Source organism: Homo sapiens, chromosome 5 (assembly GCF_000001405.40).
Source record: "Homo sapiens chromosome 5, GRCh38.p14 Primary Assembly".
Lineage (NCBI taxonomy): Eukaryota > Metazoa > Chordata > Mammalia > Primates > Hominidae > Homo > Homo sapiens.
Genome location: NC_000005.10, coordinates 178,410,508 through 178,425,575, shown reverse-complemented (window position 1 = coordinate 178,425,575; position 15,068 = coordinate 178,410,508). Strand labels below are relative to the sequence as shown.

Genomic DNA, 15,068 nt, shown 5'->3' with positions numbered 1-15,068 from the left:
CTCAAAACTGCCCTGTGGTGTCAATGTTCAGATCCACCTTTTTGCGGATGAGGAAACTGAAACAGAGGTGAGCGCGGGAAACAGCCACCATTGGCTTTATTTTATTTTTATTTATTTATTTATTTATTTATTTATTTATTTATTTATTTATTTTGAGATGGAGTCTTGCTCTGTTGCCCAGGCTGGAGTGCAGTGGCGCGATCTCGGCTCACTGCAACCTCCACCTCCTGGGTTCAAGCGATTCTCCTGCCTCAGCCTCCCGAGTAGCTGGGAGTACAGTCATAAGTTACCATGCCCGGCTAATTTTGTATTTTTAGTAGAGACCGGGTTTCCCCATGTTGGTCAGGCTGGTCTCGAACTCCTGACCTCAGGTGATCTGCCTGCCTCAGCCTCCCAAAGTGCTGGGATTACAGGCATGAGCCACCAAACCGGCCGCAACCCTTTACCCTTTGCTTTGGATTTTACAGGCTGCTTTGCGTTTTTCTCCGCTGGCCAGGCATGCGTTGTCTCCATCTTACAGAGGAAGAAATTCTATGCCCCAAGGCATGTCAGTGGTCGGTGGAGAGAGGCTGAAGCCTCCAGAACTGGATGGCAGCCTGGGCGCTCGCTTCCCTGACAGTCCATCTCCTGAGGAGGAGGCGAGGCCAGGACCCCTCTTGGGTTTTCTCCAATGAGCGGGGTGCCCTAGATCACTTACTGAACCCCCTCTGTGTGGTATTTTTACACCCATGATAACACTGAATCCTCCAGAAGGCCTGGGGGAGTTGGGAGGAGAGATTATCATCTGCATTTTATGGATTCAGTGTCTGTAACTCAGAGGATAAATAACTTGCCAGGGCGGCCCAGCTAGTGCTGTCAGACCCTGAGCCATAACTGTGACAGCTCAGGTTTAATTGGGGGATTTTTACTTCAAGGAAGAAAGTCTAGGACCATTAGTCCTGACCTGCAGAACCGCGAATGACTACAACTGCCCTTATATTCCAGTTCTGAGCGTTGCCGGTGTGTCTTGTCCTGGCCCTAGCACTGCCTCCCTCTTTGTTCAGCTCCAGAGAAGAGCATGAAGTGTTCTCTCTCCAACTGATGTGCACATTTTACTGTCTGTCCGGGGGCAGCAGCAGAGCAGAGGACATGACTGGGCCCTGGATCAAAGGGTTTTCCCTGAAGCCTGGCTGTTCCGTGTGTGCGTCCCGCAGAGCACAGTGCTTGCCCTAGAATGCTGGGCGGGCAGGCCCAATTTCACATTCACACGACATTCCATGCCCAATGCGGCGAAGATGTTTTAACAAGCACCTCCATAGCCTGTAGGCTTCATCCTGGAGAGGACTGGAGAGTTGCTTTGGCACCTAATGCAGGGCAAGGCAGTGTGAATGAATGAATGCAGGATGCATGAATGAATAGCTGCGGGCCTGCAAGGGAGGCTGCTTGATTTTCTTCCTGTCCGCTGCCTTGGAGCAGGGAGCAAGCGCGTTACTTCCCCTAAGGCCAAGCAGCTGAGAAAGGGCCCTAGATAGGAAGGAAGAGGGCCTTAGGTTCTGCTATTTATTTGTGTGACAATGAGAAAGTCACTTAATTCTTCCAAGTGTCAATTTCCTCATCTGTAAAATGGGCTTTTTCCACCTGTTGGTCCTCAGCCCTCCTGGATTATCTGCTGGATTAGGGTGAGGGGCCACAGCTACCATGTTTGCAGACGCGCAGACATCTCTGTCTGGAGCACCCCAACATTAAAGTGAGCATTATTGTGAGGCACAGCGTCATGGGCAGGCCGGGATCCAGGCAGTGCTCCCAGCTCTAGGTCCTTGGTCTGCGGTAGCCCTCACCAAGCCTCAGTTTCCTCGTGGGTAACCTGAGGACGGTGATGAATGTGACTACAGGACTGCCGTGCTAGAGTAGGATCAAACAAGGAGAGGGGACGTGCCAGGGCTGTGTGTGTGTGTACATGTTTGCACTTGTATGCACAGATGCCCCTCGACTTACAGTGAGGTCACATCCCCATCCACCCATCCGAGGTGGAAGATGCATTTACTGCCCCTAACCTATCGAGCATCGCGGCTCAGCCCAGGCTACCCTCACAGGAGCCTACGCTGGGCAAATTCATCTGGCACAAAGCGTATCTCATAATAAAGTGTGGAATGTCTCCTGTAATGTGTTGATTACCGTACACCATAGATCACTGGTTCATTCTCATGATCACATGGCTGACGGGGAGCTGCGGGTCCTCCTGCTGCCAGGATTACCAGATAGTATTGTGCTGAATATCACTAGCCCAGTGAAAGATCAAAATGCAAAATTCAGGCTGGACCCAGTGCTTCATCCCTGTAACTCCAGTGCTTTGGGAGGCTGAGACTGGAGGATCACTTGAGGCCAGGAGCTCAAGTCCAGCCTGGGCAACATAGTGAGACCCTGTCTCTACAAAAAAAAATATAAGAATTAAAACTTAAAAAATTAGTCAGGCGTGGTGATGTGTGCCTGGGGTCCCAGCTACTGGGAAGGCTAAAGTAAGAGAATTGCTTGAGCCCAGTAGTTCCAGGCTGCAGTGAGCTATGATTATGCCACTGCACTCCAGCCTGGGTGACAGAGTGAGACTGTCTCTAAAAAATTAAAAAATAAATAAATAAACTTCAAAATTCAAACTGTACTTTCCACTGAATGTCATTCACTTTTGCACAGCCATAAAGTCAGAAAATTATAAGTCACATCATCATTAAGTCAAGGACTATCTATAATCATGATTTATAATTATTTATAATTATACTCAGTAATTATACTACAATTATAATGACATAGTCTGGTAATTTATCCTAACTGTATTGCCAGAGGACAAGGGACAGTTTGGGGTCTTCAGTGACAGTCCCCGGCGTTACGTGGAAATGCAGAGTGATTTTATTCCCTGCATCTTCCAGAAACATGGGGAGGCTGATGGATGGCGACCACGTGGGGGTGGGTGAGTGGGTAGGTGCTGACAGGTCCCGTCCCTCCCAGCTCCCGGCCTGCTGGGTTGCTGTGGCTCAGGGACGTGCAGACAGCGGGGGGATGATGTGCCTCTGAATGGGCCACCTTTGGGCACGCTTGCTTGTCTGAGCTGCCCACGTAGCTGCTACCTGCTGGCCCTCTGGCCCTCAGTCCCCAGAGCCAAATGTCTTTTCTGACTTGTTTTTGCTCTCAGTTGCTCAGCAGCTCTGTTACTGTCAAGGCTGACATCGTGTCTAACGTTAAGCAGAAGAGCCAGTCAGAGTGGCTTTTGGGAAAATGCAGCTGCCTGTGGGAAGTGTCAGGATTCGGGCAAGAACGTGCAGGAGCTTTGTACCTAGAAGGTGCTGGGTGCTGGGTGAGTCCCTTCAGACAGCATGTTCCTTGCACAGAGCTGGGAACTGTCCTTCTCGGAGCCCCAGGGGCTCACCTATTATCCAGACACTGTGCGCTCTTCAAAATCTTGCTTGGAGATGTGGGCATAAGGATTAGCTACGTTTTTATACAATCTCAGGACTGGGGAAAGTGAAGGGCCCTGAGATAAAGTCCTCATTTTACTGGAGAAGCTGAGGCCTAAAAAGAAAAGGCATGTCCGACATGACCCATGGAGGAGCTGTCAGGGCTGGGAGGCCCCCTGGGCAGCCTCAGCCCCGCCCATATTCACTCCACCCCCCGGCGTTCTTCACCTCACAAGCACCTTTTGCCTGTTTGGTGCCTGCGTGTATGCGTGTGTGTTTTGAGACAAAGTTTCACTCTTGTTGCCCAGGCTTAGAGTGCAATGACGCCATCTCAGCTCACTGCAACTTCTGCTTCCCGGGTTCAAGCGATTCTCATGCCTCAGCCTTCTGAGTAGCTGGGATTACAGGGGCCTGCCACAACGCCCAGGTAATTTTTGCTGTTTTTTGTAGAGACGGGTTTCACCATGTTGGCCAGGCTGGTCTCGAACTTCTGACCTCCGGTGATCTGCCTGCCTCAGCCTCCCAAAGTGCTGGGATTACAGGTGTGAGCCACTGTGCCTGGCCCTGTCTGCTCTGTTAATGGAGTGAATTTCTGTTTCCGACAAATGGCAGTGGGCAGGGCCTTTGGAAAACATCTGCATGAGAGGAGAAGGCAGACTTTGATGGTGTGGAGTGGGTAGCATGCTTATCTTGTGCTGAGACTTTAATCCATTACCAAATTCGGTTTCCCTACACAGATATAATTACTCCCACCTTATGGATAAAGAAAATGAGCTCAGAGAGGCTGAGTGATTTGAGAAACATCACACAGCTAGTAAGGGCGGGTTCTGGTTGGAAATCCAGGTTCTTCCAGATCCAAGTCCAGTGTCTGCCCAGTTACGTGTTGCTCTTCTCCTATAGAGAAATATTTTTCTTATTGCGCATACTCATTAGGTCAACCTATATCTCCAAAAACCAAATCATGACCGTTTTTACTGATATTGCACTTCAAAAACAGTTTGGGTTACACTGTGGGAACTTTTCACAGTTCCAGAACCTTTTTCCCCAGACCAGCCTATTTATTAAGAGAAAATGGAAACAAGGGAGCAGAGAGTGTTTTAAGCCTCCTGGTCAACAAAGAACACTAGTTATCCCCTCCTGGGCTGGGCCCTGCGGCTCCCTGGGGTTGGGATCCTGTGACCCCCCCACGCCAGGGAGGGAGACATTCTGTTTTTATTTCTGCTTCCATGAGGGTTTTCCTTGGGAATGGAACTCTGTTTCAGGTTCTACAAATAAATTGAAAATAACCAAGACCCCCATGAGGTCAGCCCTCCCCGCAGGATGGGCATGAAGACCACCCCAAAGTGGAGCAAGTTTCTCATTGTTTGGGAGATTCTTTGCCCTTTCAAGGCCCAAAGCCCACATTCCCCTTGTGCTGTAGCCCGAAGGACAGAGTCACATCTCAGGGAGGGGAGGGGGAAAGTGGGGGAGAGGGGAGGGGGAAAGAGAGGAGGGGCAGGGGAGGAGGGAGGTCACATCTCAGGGAGGGGAGGAGGAAAGGGGGGGAAGGGGGGAGGGGAAGGAGAAAGAGTGGGAGAGGGGAGGAGGGAGGTCACATCTCAGGGAGGGGAGGAGGAAAGTGAGGAGGGGGAGGAGAGGAGGAAAAAGGGGGGAGGGGAGGAGGAAAGAGCGGGGGAGGGGAGGAGGATAGAGGTGGGGAGGGGAGGAGGAAAGAGCGGGGGAGGGGAGAAGGGAGGTCACATCTCAGGGAGGGGAGGGGGAAAGGGGGGAGGGGAGGAGGAAAGAGAGGAGGGGCAGGGGAGGAGGGAGTGGAGGCTTCACTGACCACCTGTCCCATATGGCCTGTGCTGGCACGAGTGCTGCCCACGGGCGCTCTTGTTTGATCTGCTTGGCAGCCCCACGGAAGTGCATCTATTCCCCCCATTTCATAGAAGAGGAAAGTGAGGAGCGTGGTATGCTTTCCCTAAGCCGTGTGGCTGATAAGTGACGAGACTGCGGTAGAAACTCAGACTTGCTGAAAACAGTTCTTGGTTCAGCTTTTCCCTGAGACTGAAAACAAGTGTTAGAACTTCAGGCAAGTTAAATTTGATGGAGTTTACTTGAGAAAACAAAAAAGAGAAAAAGAAATGATTTGTGAATCCAGCAGCCTCCAGAATCACAGCAGATTCAGAGAGACTCCAGGGGTGCCTCGTGGTCAGAACGAATTTATAGACAAAAAGGGTAAAGTGACACACAGGAATCAGAGGTGCGGTACAGAAAGAGTGAGACTGGTTACAGCTCGGCGTTTGCCTTATTTGAACGCAGTTTGAACACTCAGCGGTCTATGAGTGGTTGAAGGATGGCCGCTGGGATTGGCCAAGACTCAGCTGTTGTTACAGGTGCATACTAGTAAGTTAGGTTTTCAGTTTTGCCTGCCTATTAAGCTAGGTTATGGTTCATCCACAAGGACTCAGATATAGAAGTACTGAGTCCTTCTCAGGCCATATTTAGTTTGCTTTAACACGAGGTGGGGAGAAGAGGAGGAAACCCCACACGCCGACATTAGGGACTGGGCCAGCACATGGGGAGGCATAGGGATGCCCAGTCTGCAACCCACTGCCCCCCAGCACTTTCTCATCTACAAAACAGGCTGATGCTAATCATAGTGACCCCAGGGTTTGCTGTGCAGATTAAAGGAGATAATTCAGGTCGTGGTGCCGAGCCCAGTGCCTGGCACAGAACAGGTTTGCAGTCAGTGTTTACTGTCGTTACCGGTGACCTCAGCTTTGCATGGGAGAGAAGGGTGGAGGCTCGCCTTGGCTCTGCTGTTCCTGTGTCCTCAGCCACTGACCCTCCATGCGACTGGCTCTTCGGCTTAACGTTAGACCAATGTCAACCTTGACGAGAACAGAGTTCCTGAGCAACTGAGAGCAAAAACCCAGTCAGAGAAGACATTTGGCTCTAGGGACTGAGGGACAGAGGGCCAGCAGGTAGCAGCCACTGAACTTTGGCATGGCCACAGCCACGTTAGACACCGGGTGATGCCCCTCACCTTAAAAGCGAGTGCCAACGCCTGGGTGGAGGAGGACAGGGAGCAGACAGGATGGGGCAACTGTGTTTGCTGCGTTCATTCCACAAGTGTTTCTTGAGCATCTGCCATAGGTCAGACTTCATTCCAAGCACTATGAAGTGGATGAGGCAGGCAGAGTCCTTGCTCTCCTGGGGCTTCCATTCTAGAGCTGTGGGGCAGGCTGGGGGTGGTGACAGTAAACCTGTAATTGCATGATCCTAGTCTTTGCATGATACCTGGATCTCTGCAGTCCTGCCAGAATCAGGGCCACATGGCTTACTGTGCAGGCGTAACAACCAAGGATTTAGGCCAGGCCTGCCTCCCAGTGCCGACAAGCAGAGGGTGCTGCACGGACTGGAGGCTTGTTTCTGATCTTCTCTCTCTAATCCTCTCCATCTCCAGCCTGCCACCTACAAAGGACTTGGTGTGGCCACAGCTTAGGCTCCACAGCGTGGGTCACTGTGGGGCTGGGAGGCTGGTGAAAGGGCTGGCCAGCCGCCTGGCACCCAAGCACCAGTGGGTTTGAGTGGGGGTTGAGTAGGTGGCTCTGCCTGAGGGCAGCAGGCCGATACCAGGCAGCTGGGGCAAGTGGCACTCATGCTAGAGTGAGACCCCATGGCCGAGATAGGTGCACAGGGGCTGGTTCCAGTTTCTTGCTAAGGGGACAACAGAATCAGGATCTCTCCAGGAAAGCTGGAACGTAGGGGAAGGACTCCACTGCATGGAGGAACTTCAAGCCTTAAGTCTAATAGGGCAAGAAAACTGAGGGTGGAGCCCACATGAGAGGTCCCAGCTAGCCGGATAATTATCCTGATGGTAGTAATAATAAGAGCCAACCTTCAAAGAATACATACAGTCTCATATTCTATGTGTATTATATCATTCAGTCCTCACCACCCTGAGGTAGGTGCTATCATTATCACATTTTACACATTATGAAACCAAGACACAGAGAAGTTAGGTAACTTATCCAAGATCACACAGTAACCAAGTGGCAGACCTAGGGTTTGAATCAGGGCACATGAGTGCCAAGTCCTCCAGACACTGGGTCCTCCACAGGCCTGACTTCTGCAGCCCCACTCACTGGCAGCCCAGGGCTCCTTCCTCAGGGCCCATCCTGAAGTGAGGAGAAACTCTTGACAGAGAGGCCCAGGACTGAAAAACAAACCCGAATAAATAATAGGCTCTGAATAAATGTTTATTAATTGAACTTGACAGAAAAAATGCAATTTTCTTTGGGCCCAAGTCAGAGGTTGTTGTTGCAGCCCAGGTTCAGAACGTCCTCGTTTCTGCGGGTATTTTGTGATCTTTATCCTAATGGTGGAGACAAGCCACATGTGTTCTGCTAATGAACTCCGTCTCCTTGGCCTGGATGAAGCGGGCAGCAAGGTGAGGGAGGCATAACTCCCTGTAGAAATGAGTATTCCCCGTCTAATCAGACGGGGCTGTTCTTGAGCATTCTTTCAAATGTCGCTTTATCGTTGAGGGTTGGATTTCCGTCTGATATGGATCCTGTGGTTTTCTGCTGTATAATGATATCTCGCTGGGGGAATGGGGGATGGAATGGGGAGGCAGGGCTGTGGTTTTCTCCCAGAGGGAGAATCCAGAATGTTGCGGGCGTGATTTCCCCCTTTGGGCAGTGATCGGAAGCACAGCTCTGCTACTAGAAAGAGGTCAGATTCTTTACCTGTAAAAATACTGGCGAGGTACACGTAGCGAGGAAGGCAGGACTTCTTGGCGTCAGTCTGAAGGCAGTAATCAGCAGGGTCAAGCCTCTGAGCTTAGATTGGCATGTGTGTGCACACATGTGTGCATGTCTGTGTATGTTTTGTGTGAGTGTGTCTGTTTACATCCTTCTGTTGAACAGATGCATGTGTGTTGTATGTGTTGTATGTACATCCAGAAGAGCCATCCGTTGGGAAAGACTGGCACCGCCTCGCCCAGCATTCCAGTAAGCACAAGCCTCCTTTCAGGACCAAACGCTGCTGACACTGCTGACAGTGCTGAGTGAATCAGATCGTGATTCATTCAACAAGCACTATTTGGTGGCAGGTCCTATGCTCATGCTGAACTGCACAAGGCCCCTAAGTCTCAGGAAGCTCCAGGTCTCCTGGGAAAGAATTATACCTGGGGAGGGCTGAGAGAGGAGAGGAGGCCAGATCTCGGGCTGTGGTCAGGTTGTGATGGGCCTGAACCGGAGGCTTTGCCATCATCCTGTGTGTTGACAGCCTGCCCTCACCCTCAGCTCCTCCCTGCTATGCTCTCCATCTGAGAATGCAGCCCCTGCCCTGGGGGCTGTGTGCTTAAACTAGATTCCGGGGTCATCCTTAGCAACTCCCACTCCAGATCTCATCAGTTACCTACTTAACTGTGTGACCTTGGACAAGTTATTTAATCTCTGAACCTCAGTTTCCTCATCTGTGAAATGGGAAGGATACTACTACCGGCTTGAAACGATTAAGTGAGATAATGTTCACAAAGCACTCAGCACATACAAATGATTTTAAAATAGGCATGGGTATGGTTAATCCTGTCTGCTGAATACCTGTGGAAGCCACCCATCTCCCTCTAACCCCTCCGTATCATCCTGGTCCAACTACATCTCCTCCTGGGCCCCACCCCTCCGGGCTCACTCCCAGCAGCCAGACCAGCAGCACTGCCTCCCTCGGGGTTTTCCCCAAGGCCAAGCTGATCCAGGCACCAAGGAGAAGACAGGTGCCGAGCTCCGGTCAGCCACGATGGAGGCCCGGGGAGCCTCCTGAGGGAGGCAGGCCAGCTGCAGGGCTGTCTCTTTGCGCATCTCTAAGACTGAACCTCTCAACAACCCGGATGCTCATCTCTTGTCTATATTGGGTCCCTGGCAACTAGTTGGTCATCATGTTTTACACATTATGTAAGCAATCCAGATGTACAACAACCTGGATGCTCATCTCTTGTCTATATTGGGTCCCTGGCAACAGTAGGTCACCAGTATGTAGTCAACGAGCGAATGAATGAATGAATGAATGAATGGGAGGGTTTAGACTCAGTGAGAATGGCACTGGGGCAGCTGATGTTTGGGACTCTCATGACTTGGCCTACTGTTTCTGGATCTCTGGCTCTGCCCCAGCTTCGTCCGCCCTCCCTGGTCCCATCCTTCAGGGCCCAGCTCTGACTTCACCTCCTGAAAGCTCTCTCTGGTCCCATCCAGCCCTGGAATCACCTCCCTCGGAAGCCCTCCCTGGCCTCACCCAGTACCTCCTCTCCCTTATCCTGCCCCTGATGTCTGCAGTTGTGCCCTCGAGGAGTTTTCAGTCTTTCTTGTTTGCCTGTCTACCTCCCGCTAGGCTGGGAGCTCTCTGTGGGCAAGAACCTCGTGCTCACTCTTCTGCATCCCCTTGTGCAGCAGGGCTCGGGCACAGATGTGGCGTGGGACAGTCTGCTGACTGCCCACCTCACCGCCGCCCGCACAGTCCCCTTGCCCTCATGGAGCCAGGGCGGGATGGGGGCAGCACTGTCCTCTGGTGCCAGCAGTCAGCACATTGGAAGTATCTGCAAGGGGCGTCCCTCGTGTCCTCTGGCTGTGGAGAGGTCAGGAGACAGTAGAAGTGTTCGTGGAGGCCGGCTGGCAGCAGCAAGCCTGTGCAGAGAGGCAGCAGGGTGAGCCGTGCTCCAGGGCCCGGGCCCGGGGAGAAAGAGGCCACAGCCTGTGCACTGAGGGTGGGGGGCAGGACGGTTTTTAGACGTTCGACTGATTTGGAGCACAGTGTTTACTCAGCCTGGTGGCTCAGTGTCTGCAGCACTCCCACTGTGGCACAGACCCACGTCACTCACCCAGCAAGGCGGGCTCGTCCCCACTGAGCACTGTAACTGGCACCATGTGGACCCCACTGGAGAAAAGAGTGTGTCATTGCACCAAGCAAGATGCCAGGATCCTTGACTGGAGCTCCTTCCTGGGAGAGTCAGAGGCTGAATCCAAGCAGCCCAGCTCACTGGGGCAGAGAGAACCAGCACTCACATATTCCGGGTTTCGTGCTGAGAAACTGAGGCACAAACTGTTTAAAAACCTGCCCTCATCTTATTGTGGAAGCAGAGAGGCAGGTCAGCAGCAGCTGCATTTTGGGTGCCATTTCTGGCTCTCCTTTCACCCCACTCCACTTCATACCCCCTTGTTACCTCCTCCCACTCCCCACCCCTACCCACACCTCCACACGTCATCACCTACCTAGGTGGGCTCGATGGTCTTGCTTTGCCTTCAAGCAGGGCTGTGGGATGTGGCTGCCTTAGCTGGGTTGGGTTTCTGAGAAGCAGTCCCAGGGACTACTTGCTTTCCTGGTTGCCTTTTTTTATTTAGTTGGAGTCTCACTCTGTCACTCATGCTGGAGTGTAGTAGTGTCATCTCAGCTCACTGCAACCTCCGCCTCCCGGGTTCAAGTGATTCTCCTGACTCAGCCTCCCAAGAGGCTGGGATTACAGGCACACACTACCATGCCCAGCTAATTTTTGTATTTTTAGTAGAGACGGGGTTTCACCCTGTTGGCCAGGCTGGTCTCGAACTCCTGACCTCAGTTGATCTGCCCACCTCGGCCTCCCACAGTGCTGGGATCACAGGCGTGAGCCACCACACCGGCCCTGGTTGCCTTTTTTTACACATTTACCTGCCTTTGGAGAAGTGGTAAATGGGAGGGAAAACAAGTCCTTTTTTTTTTTTTAAAAAAAGGATATTTGTAGTTAATGCCAGAGCCACGGCACTCTCCCAGACCCTCTGCCAGGTGGTGGTGGTGACATAAGGTACATACAATTCCTGCCCTCTGAGAGCTTGCAATCAAGTAGATAAATCATCTGCCAGCAGGTGGTAGATACTCATTTACAGCACTGCTGTTGCTGTGGGAATAACAAAGTCACCTGATGCTGTTGCTGATGCTGGCCCAGCACAGGGCGGAGTTGTTTCCCCACATGAGATCAACAGAGGAGAGCGTGACAGCAGAGGGCCAGGGTCCCCCTTCTCAGCTCCCTCTGTAAAGCTGGGAGTCTTCCCACTGCAGGACCGGAGCACACAGCAGCATGAATTATGTGCCCTCTTGCTGTCCTAGCCCCAGCTGCAGGCTGGTTACATCAGCTTGGACTTCATGCTTGGGGCACAGAGAAGCTGTCAAAAATGCAAGCAGATTGGGCTCAGATCTAAGGAGCTCCCAAGACCTTATCTGCAGATGGAAACAGACATTGGATAGACAAAAGAGGAAACTGACACCCACCCACCTCCCCAAATAATAATACTTAGCTTTTACAACAATACCGCACTTCCCCTAAGATTCAGGCATTCCCAACTTCTTAATAAATGCTGTTTCCTTTGCCTGGAACCCTCTGCTAACCTTGTCCAATTCCCCATCCCCACATAGGCTAATGAGACCTTCCCAGTTACCCCAAGCTAAGAGCAATCATGCAGCCTGTGATCCATCTCATCTGGAACTTCTCTCTTGTAACTGTCATCACTCTTCATTGTAATTACTTGATCAGCTGTCTGTCTTTCCCATTGAACTAAAGTTTGGTGAGATCAGAAACCATGTCTTATGAACTCCTGCATTCTCAGTGCCTGGCACAATTCCAAGCACTGAAGTAGAATAAATGGGAAAGAATCTTGAGGATAATTGAACATATGATATAAGAAAAGTTTACTGAGAAAGTTCTGTCTTTCTATCAAAGGACTCGTTGAATTCAAGGTAAATTGGAAAACGCCACCTGGATTTCATGTAGCAAGTTATTTTAATTTAAAGGGTAAAAATCTATTCTACAAGCATTCAAGGGGGAAAAAATCTACCATAAACAGTCATGTGACCAATATCTGCAAATTATCCAAAAGCAAAATAGCCTCAAATTTCTCCATGGTTCTAAGCATCAGAAGACAGTGGAACTGTGCCTACAGAATTTGTTTTGTTTTGTTGTTGAGATGGGTCTTGCTCTGTGTCCAGGCTGGAATGCTATGACAGTCATAGCTCTCTGTAACTTTGAACTTTTGGGCTAAAGTGATCCTCCTGCCTCAGCCTCCCAAGTAGCTGAGACTACAGGCAGACACCAGTATGCCCAGCTATTTTTTTTTTTGTAGAAATGGGTCTTGCTATGTTGCCCAGGCTCAGAATTGGAATAGAAAAAGTTGTACTCAACAATTCCATATATGGCTGTGCTGTCATTCTTGGGTGAAGACTGGAAACAACATTTCCAGATGATGTACAGTGTCTCAGGCTCTATATTACTTAGCATTTCTGAGAAAACTGCTTAGCATATGTAATCAGTCAAGGAAAAAAGGAATCAAAATCAGAATCCAGAGAGGAAAGTCTATGTGAGCACCAAAATCAATGAAATATATTGAGACACTGAAAATTTAAAATTATAGTCACAAAATCAAATCCAAAAATTATTTTTCAAAAAAAGAGTAAAATGTTAAAAATGTCATATCACTTGTGATACGTGCACTTTTATGTATATTATGCTTCACCAAAAAATAAAGAACTGTGCAAAAATATGATCTCTGTAATCCCAGATTACATTAATAAAGACTGGAAAATTAAGGAAGGGGTAGAGAAGTAAAGAAAGATATACAGAATTCCAAAATCATTGTGTGTAGAACAGACTTTAGAAGTTATTTTCTTCTTGACTTTGGGAATTGGAGAACTGTAAATTTGTTTATATTTAGTGGTAAGAAGAAAATTAGCCAGGATGGAAAAATGTAAAATGAAAACTGGGTTTTCTTTCCCTTCCTTTACCTCTAGTTCTTTTTGAGGAAAGTAGCCACAATTAACAGATTATTATATATCCTTACAGAAAAAAAATGTATCCATGCTCCACAAACTCACACAAATGAGGTCACACTACTCATACCTTATATTTTCAAAGAATAATATATCATAGAGATCACATTGTCACATGCAGATCTTTCTCATTCTTTTTAGAATAGTATTCCATTGTGTGAATGTACCATGATTTATTTCAACCACTCCTCAATTGATCGATACTTACGCTGCTTCCATTTTTACCATTATATACAATGTTACAGTTACACGTACATTCATGAGTGTGTTTATAAGGAAAAACTCTGTCAATGGACTTGCCTAGTCAAAGATGAAAACTTTCCCTTAAATTGCTGATAGTTTTGCCACATTGCCCTTAAAATGATGCCGACTTATTCTCTCAGTAACATTACACACAAGTTTCTATTTCCACACATCTTCATCAGCACAGAGTATTGTTAAACTTTAAATGTTCTACCAATGCTATAGGCAAAAATAGTATCTTGCTTGGATTTTAATGACTTTAATTATGTATGAGGTTGAATATTGAGGTGAAATTCATATAGCACAAAATTAAGTGAACAACTCAGTAGCATTTAATAAATTCACAGCGTTGTGCAACCACCACCTTTATCCAGCTGCAGAACACTTTCATCACCGCAAAAGAACCTATACCCATTGAGCAGTCATTCATCCCCCATTTCCCCCTCCTCCCAGCTCCTGGGAACCACCAGTCTGCTTTCTGTCTCTATGGCTTTATATATTCTGTATATTTCATGTAAGTTATACAACACCTTTTGTCTGGATTACTTTATTTAGCATATTTTTTTCAGTTCATCCACATTGTAATATGTATCAGTACTTCATTTCCTTTTATGGATAAATAATAATTTCATTCCATGTGTGTATCACAGTTTGTTTACCTATTCATCTTTTGATGGGCATTTGGGTTGTTTTCACCTTTGGCTATTGTGATTAGTGTTGTTGTAAACGTACATGTATGTATTTGAGTTCCTGTTTTCACTTCTTTGGGGTATATAACAGGGAGTGAATTTGCTGGGTCATATGGTAATTATCTGTTTAAGATTTTGAGGAACCACCAAACATTTTCACAGGAGCCGAACAATTTTACATTCCTACCAGCAGTGTACAAAGGTTCCAATTTTTCCACATCCTCATCAACACTTGTTATTTTCTGGGTTGTTATTGTTGTTGGTTTAACCTTCCTAGTGGGTGTGAAGTGGTATTCCACTGTGGTTTAGATTTGTGTGTTGCATGATTAATAGTGTTGAGCATCTTTTCATATCCTTGTTGGCTGTTTGTGTATCTTCTTCAGCAAAATGTCGATTCAAGTCCTTTGCTTATTTTTGAATAGGGTTGTTTGTATTTTTATTGTTGAGTTGTAAGCGTTTTTTAATTTGATTATATATTCTAGATATGTTCTGAATTACTATTAGTATTGTCAGATATATGATTTGAAAATGTATTCTTGCATTCTGTATGGTGTAGTATTACTTTTTTGATAATGTCCTTTAACACACAAAAGTTTTGATGAAATTGTACTGCATTTTGATGAAGGTTTTTCTTTCGTTGCATGTATTTTGGGTGTCATATCTAAGAATCCACTTCTAAGTCCATTGTCATGAAGATTTATCTGTGTTTTCTTCTAAGAATTTTGTAGTTACAGATGTTATATTTAAGCCACTGTTTCGCATTAATTTTTGTATTTGGTGTGAGGTAGAGGTTCAGTTTGATTCTTTGGCATGTAGATATTGAGTTTGACTCTCAATTCTCAATTTATCCATTGGTCTATATCTATCCTTATGCCAA

General features: G+C 48.1%; 1 protein-coding gene across 11 annotated transcripts in view, besides 1 other annotated feature; it reads left to right on the top strand.

Annotated features, from left to right (window-relative positions):
* Positions 1-15,068, top strand: part of COL23A1 (collagen type XXIII alpha 1 chain) — a 352,776-nt gene that overhangs the window by 164,818 nt on the left and 172,890 nt on the right. The gene's annotated exons all lie outside the window — the stretch shown is intronic.
* Positions 6,569-7,458: an enhancer, noted in NCBI's record as "H3K27ac-H3K4me1 hESC enhancer chr5:177845119-177846008 (GRCh37/hg19 assembly coordinates)". NCBI's record gives its function as "activates a minimal SCP1, AML or CMV promoter by ChIP-STARR-seq in primed H9 embryonic stem cells {active_cell/tissue: H9 hESC(primed)}" and the evidence as "EXISTENCE:reporter gene assay evidence [ECO:0000049][PMID:30033119]".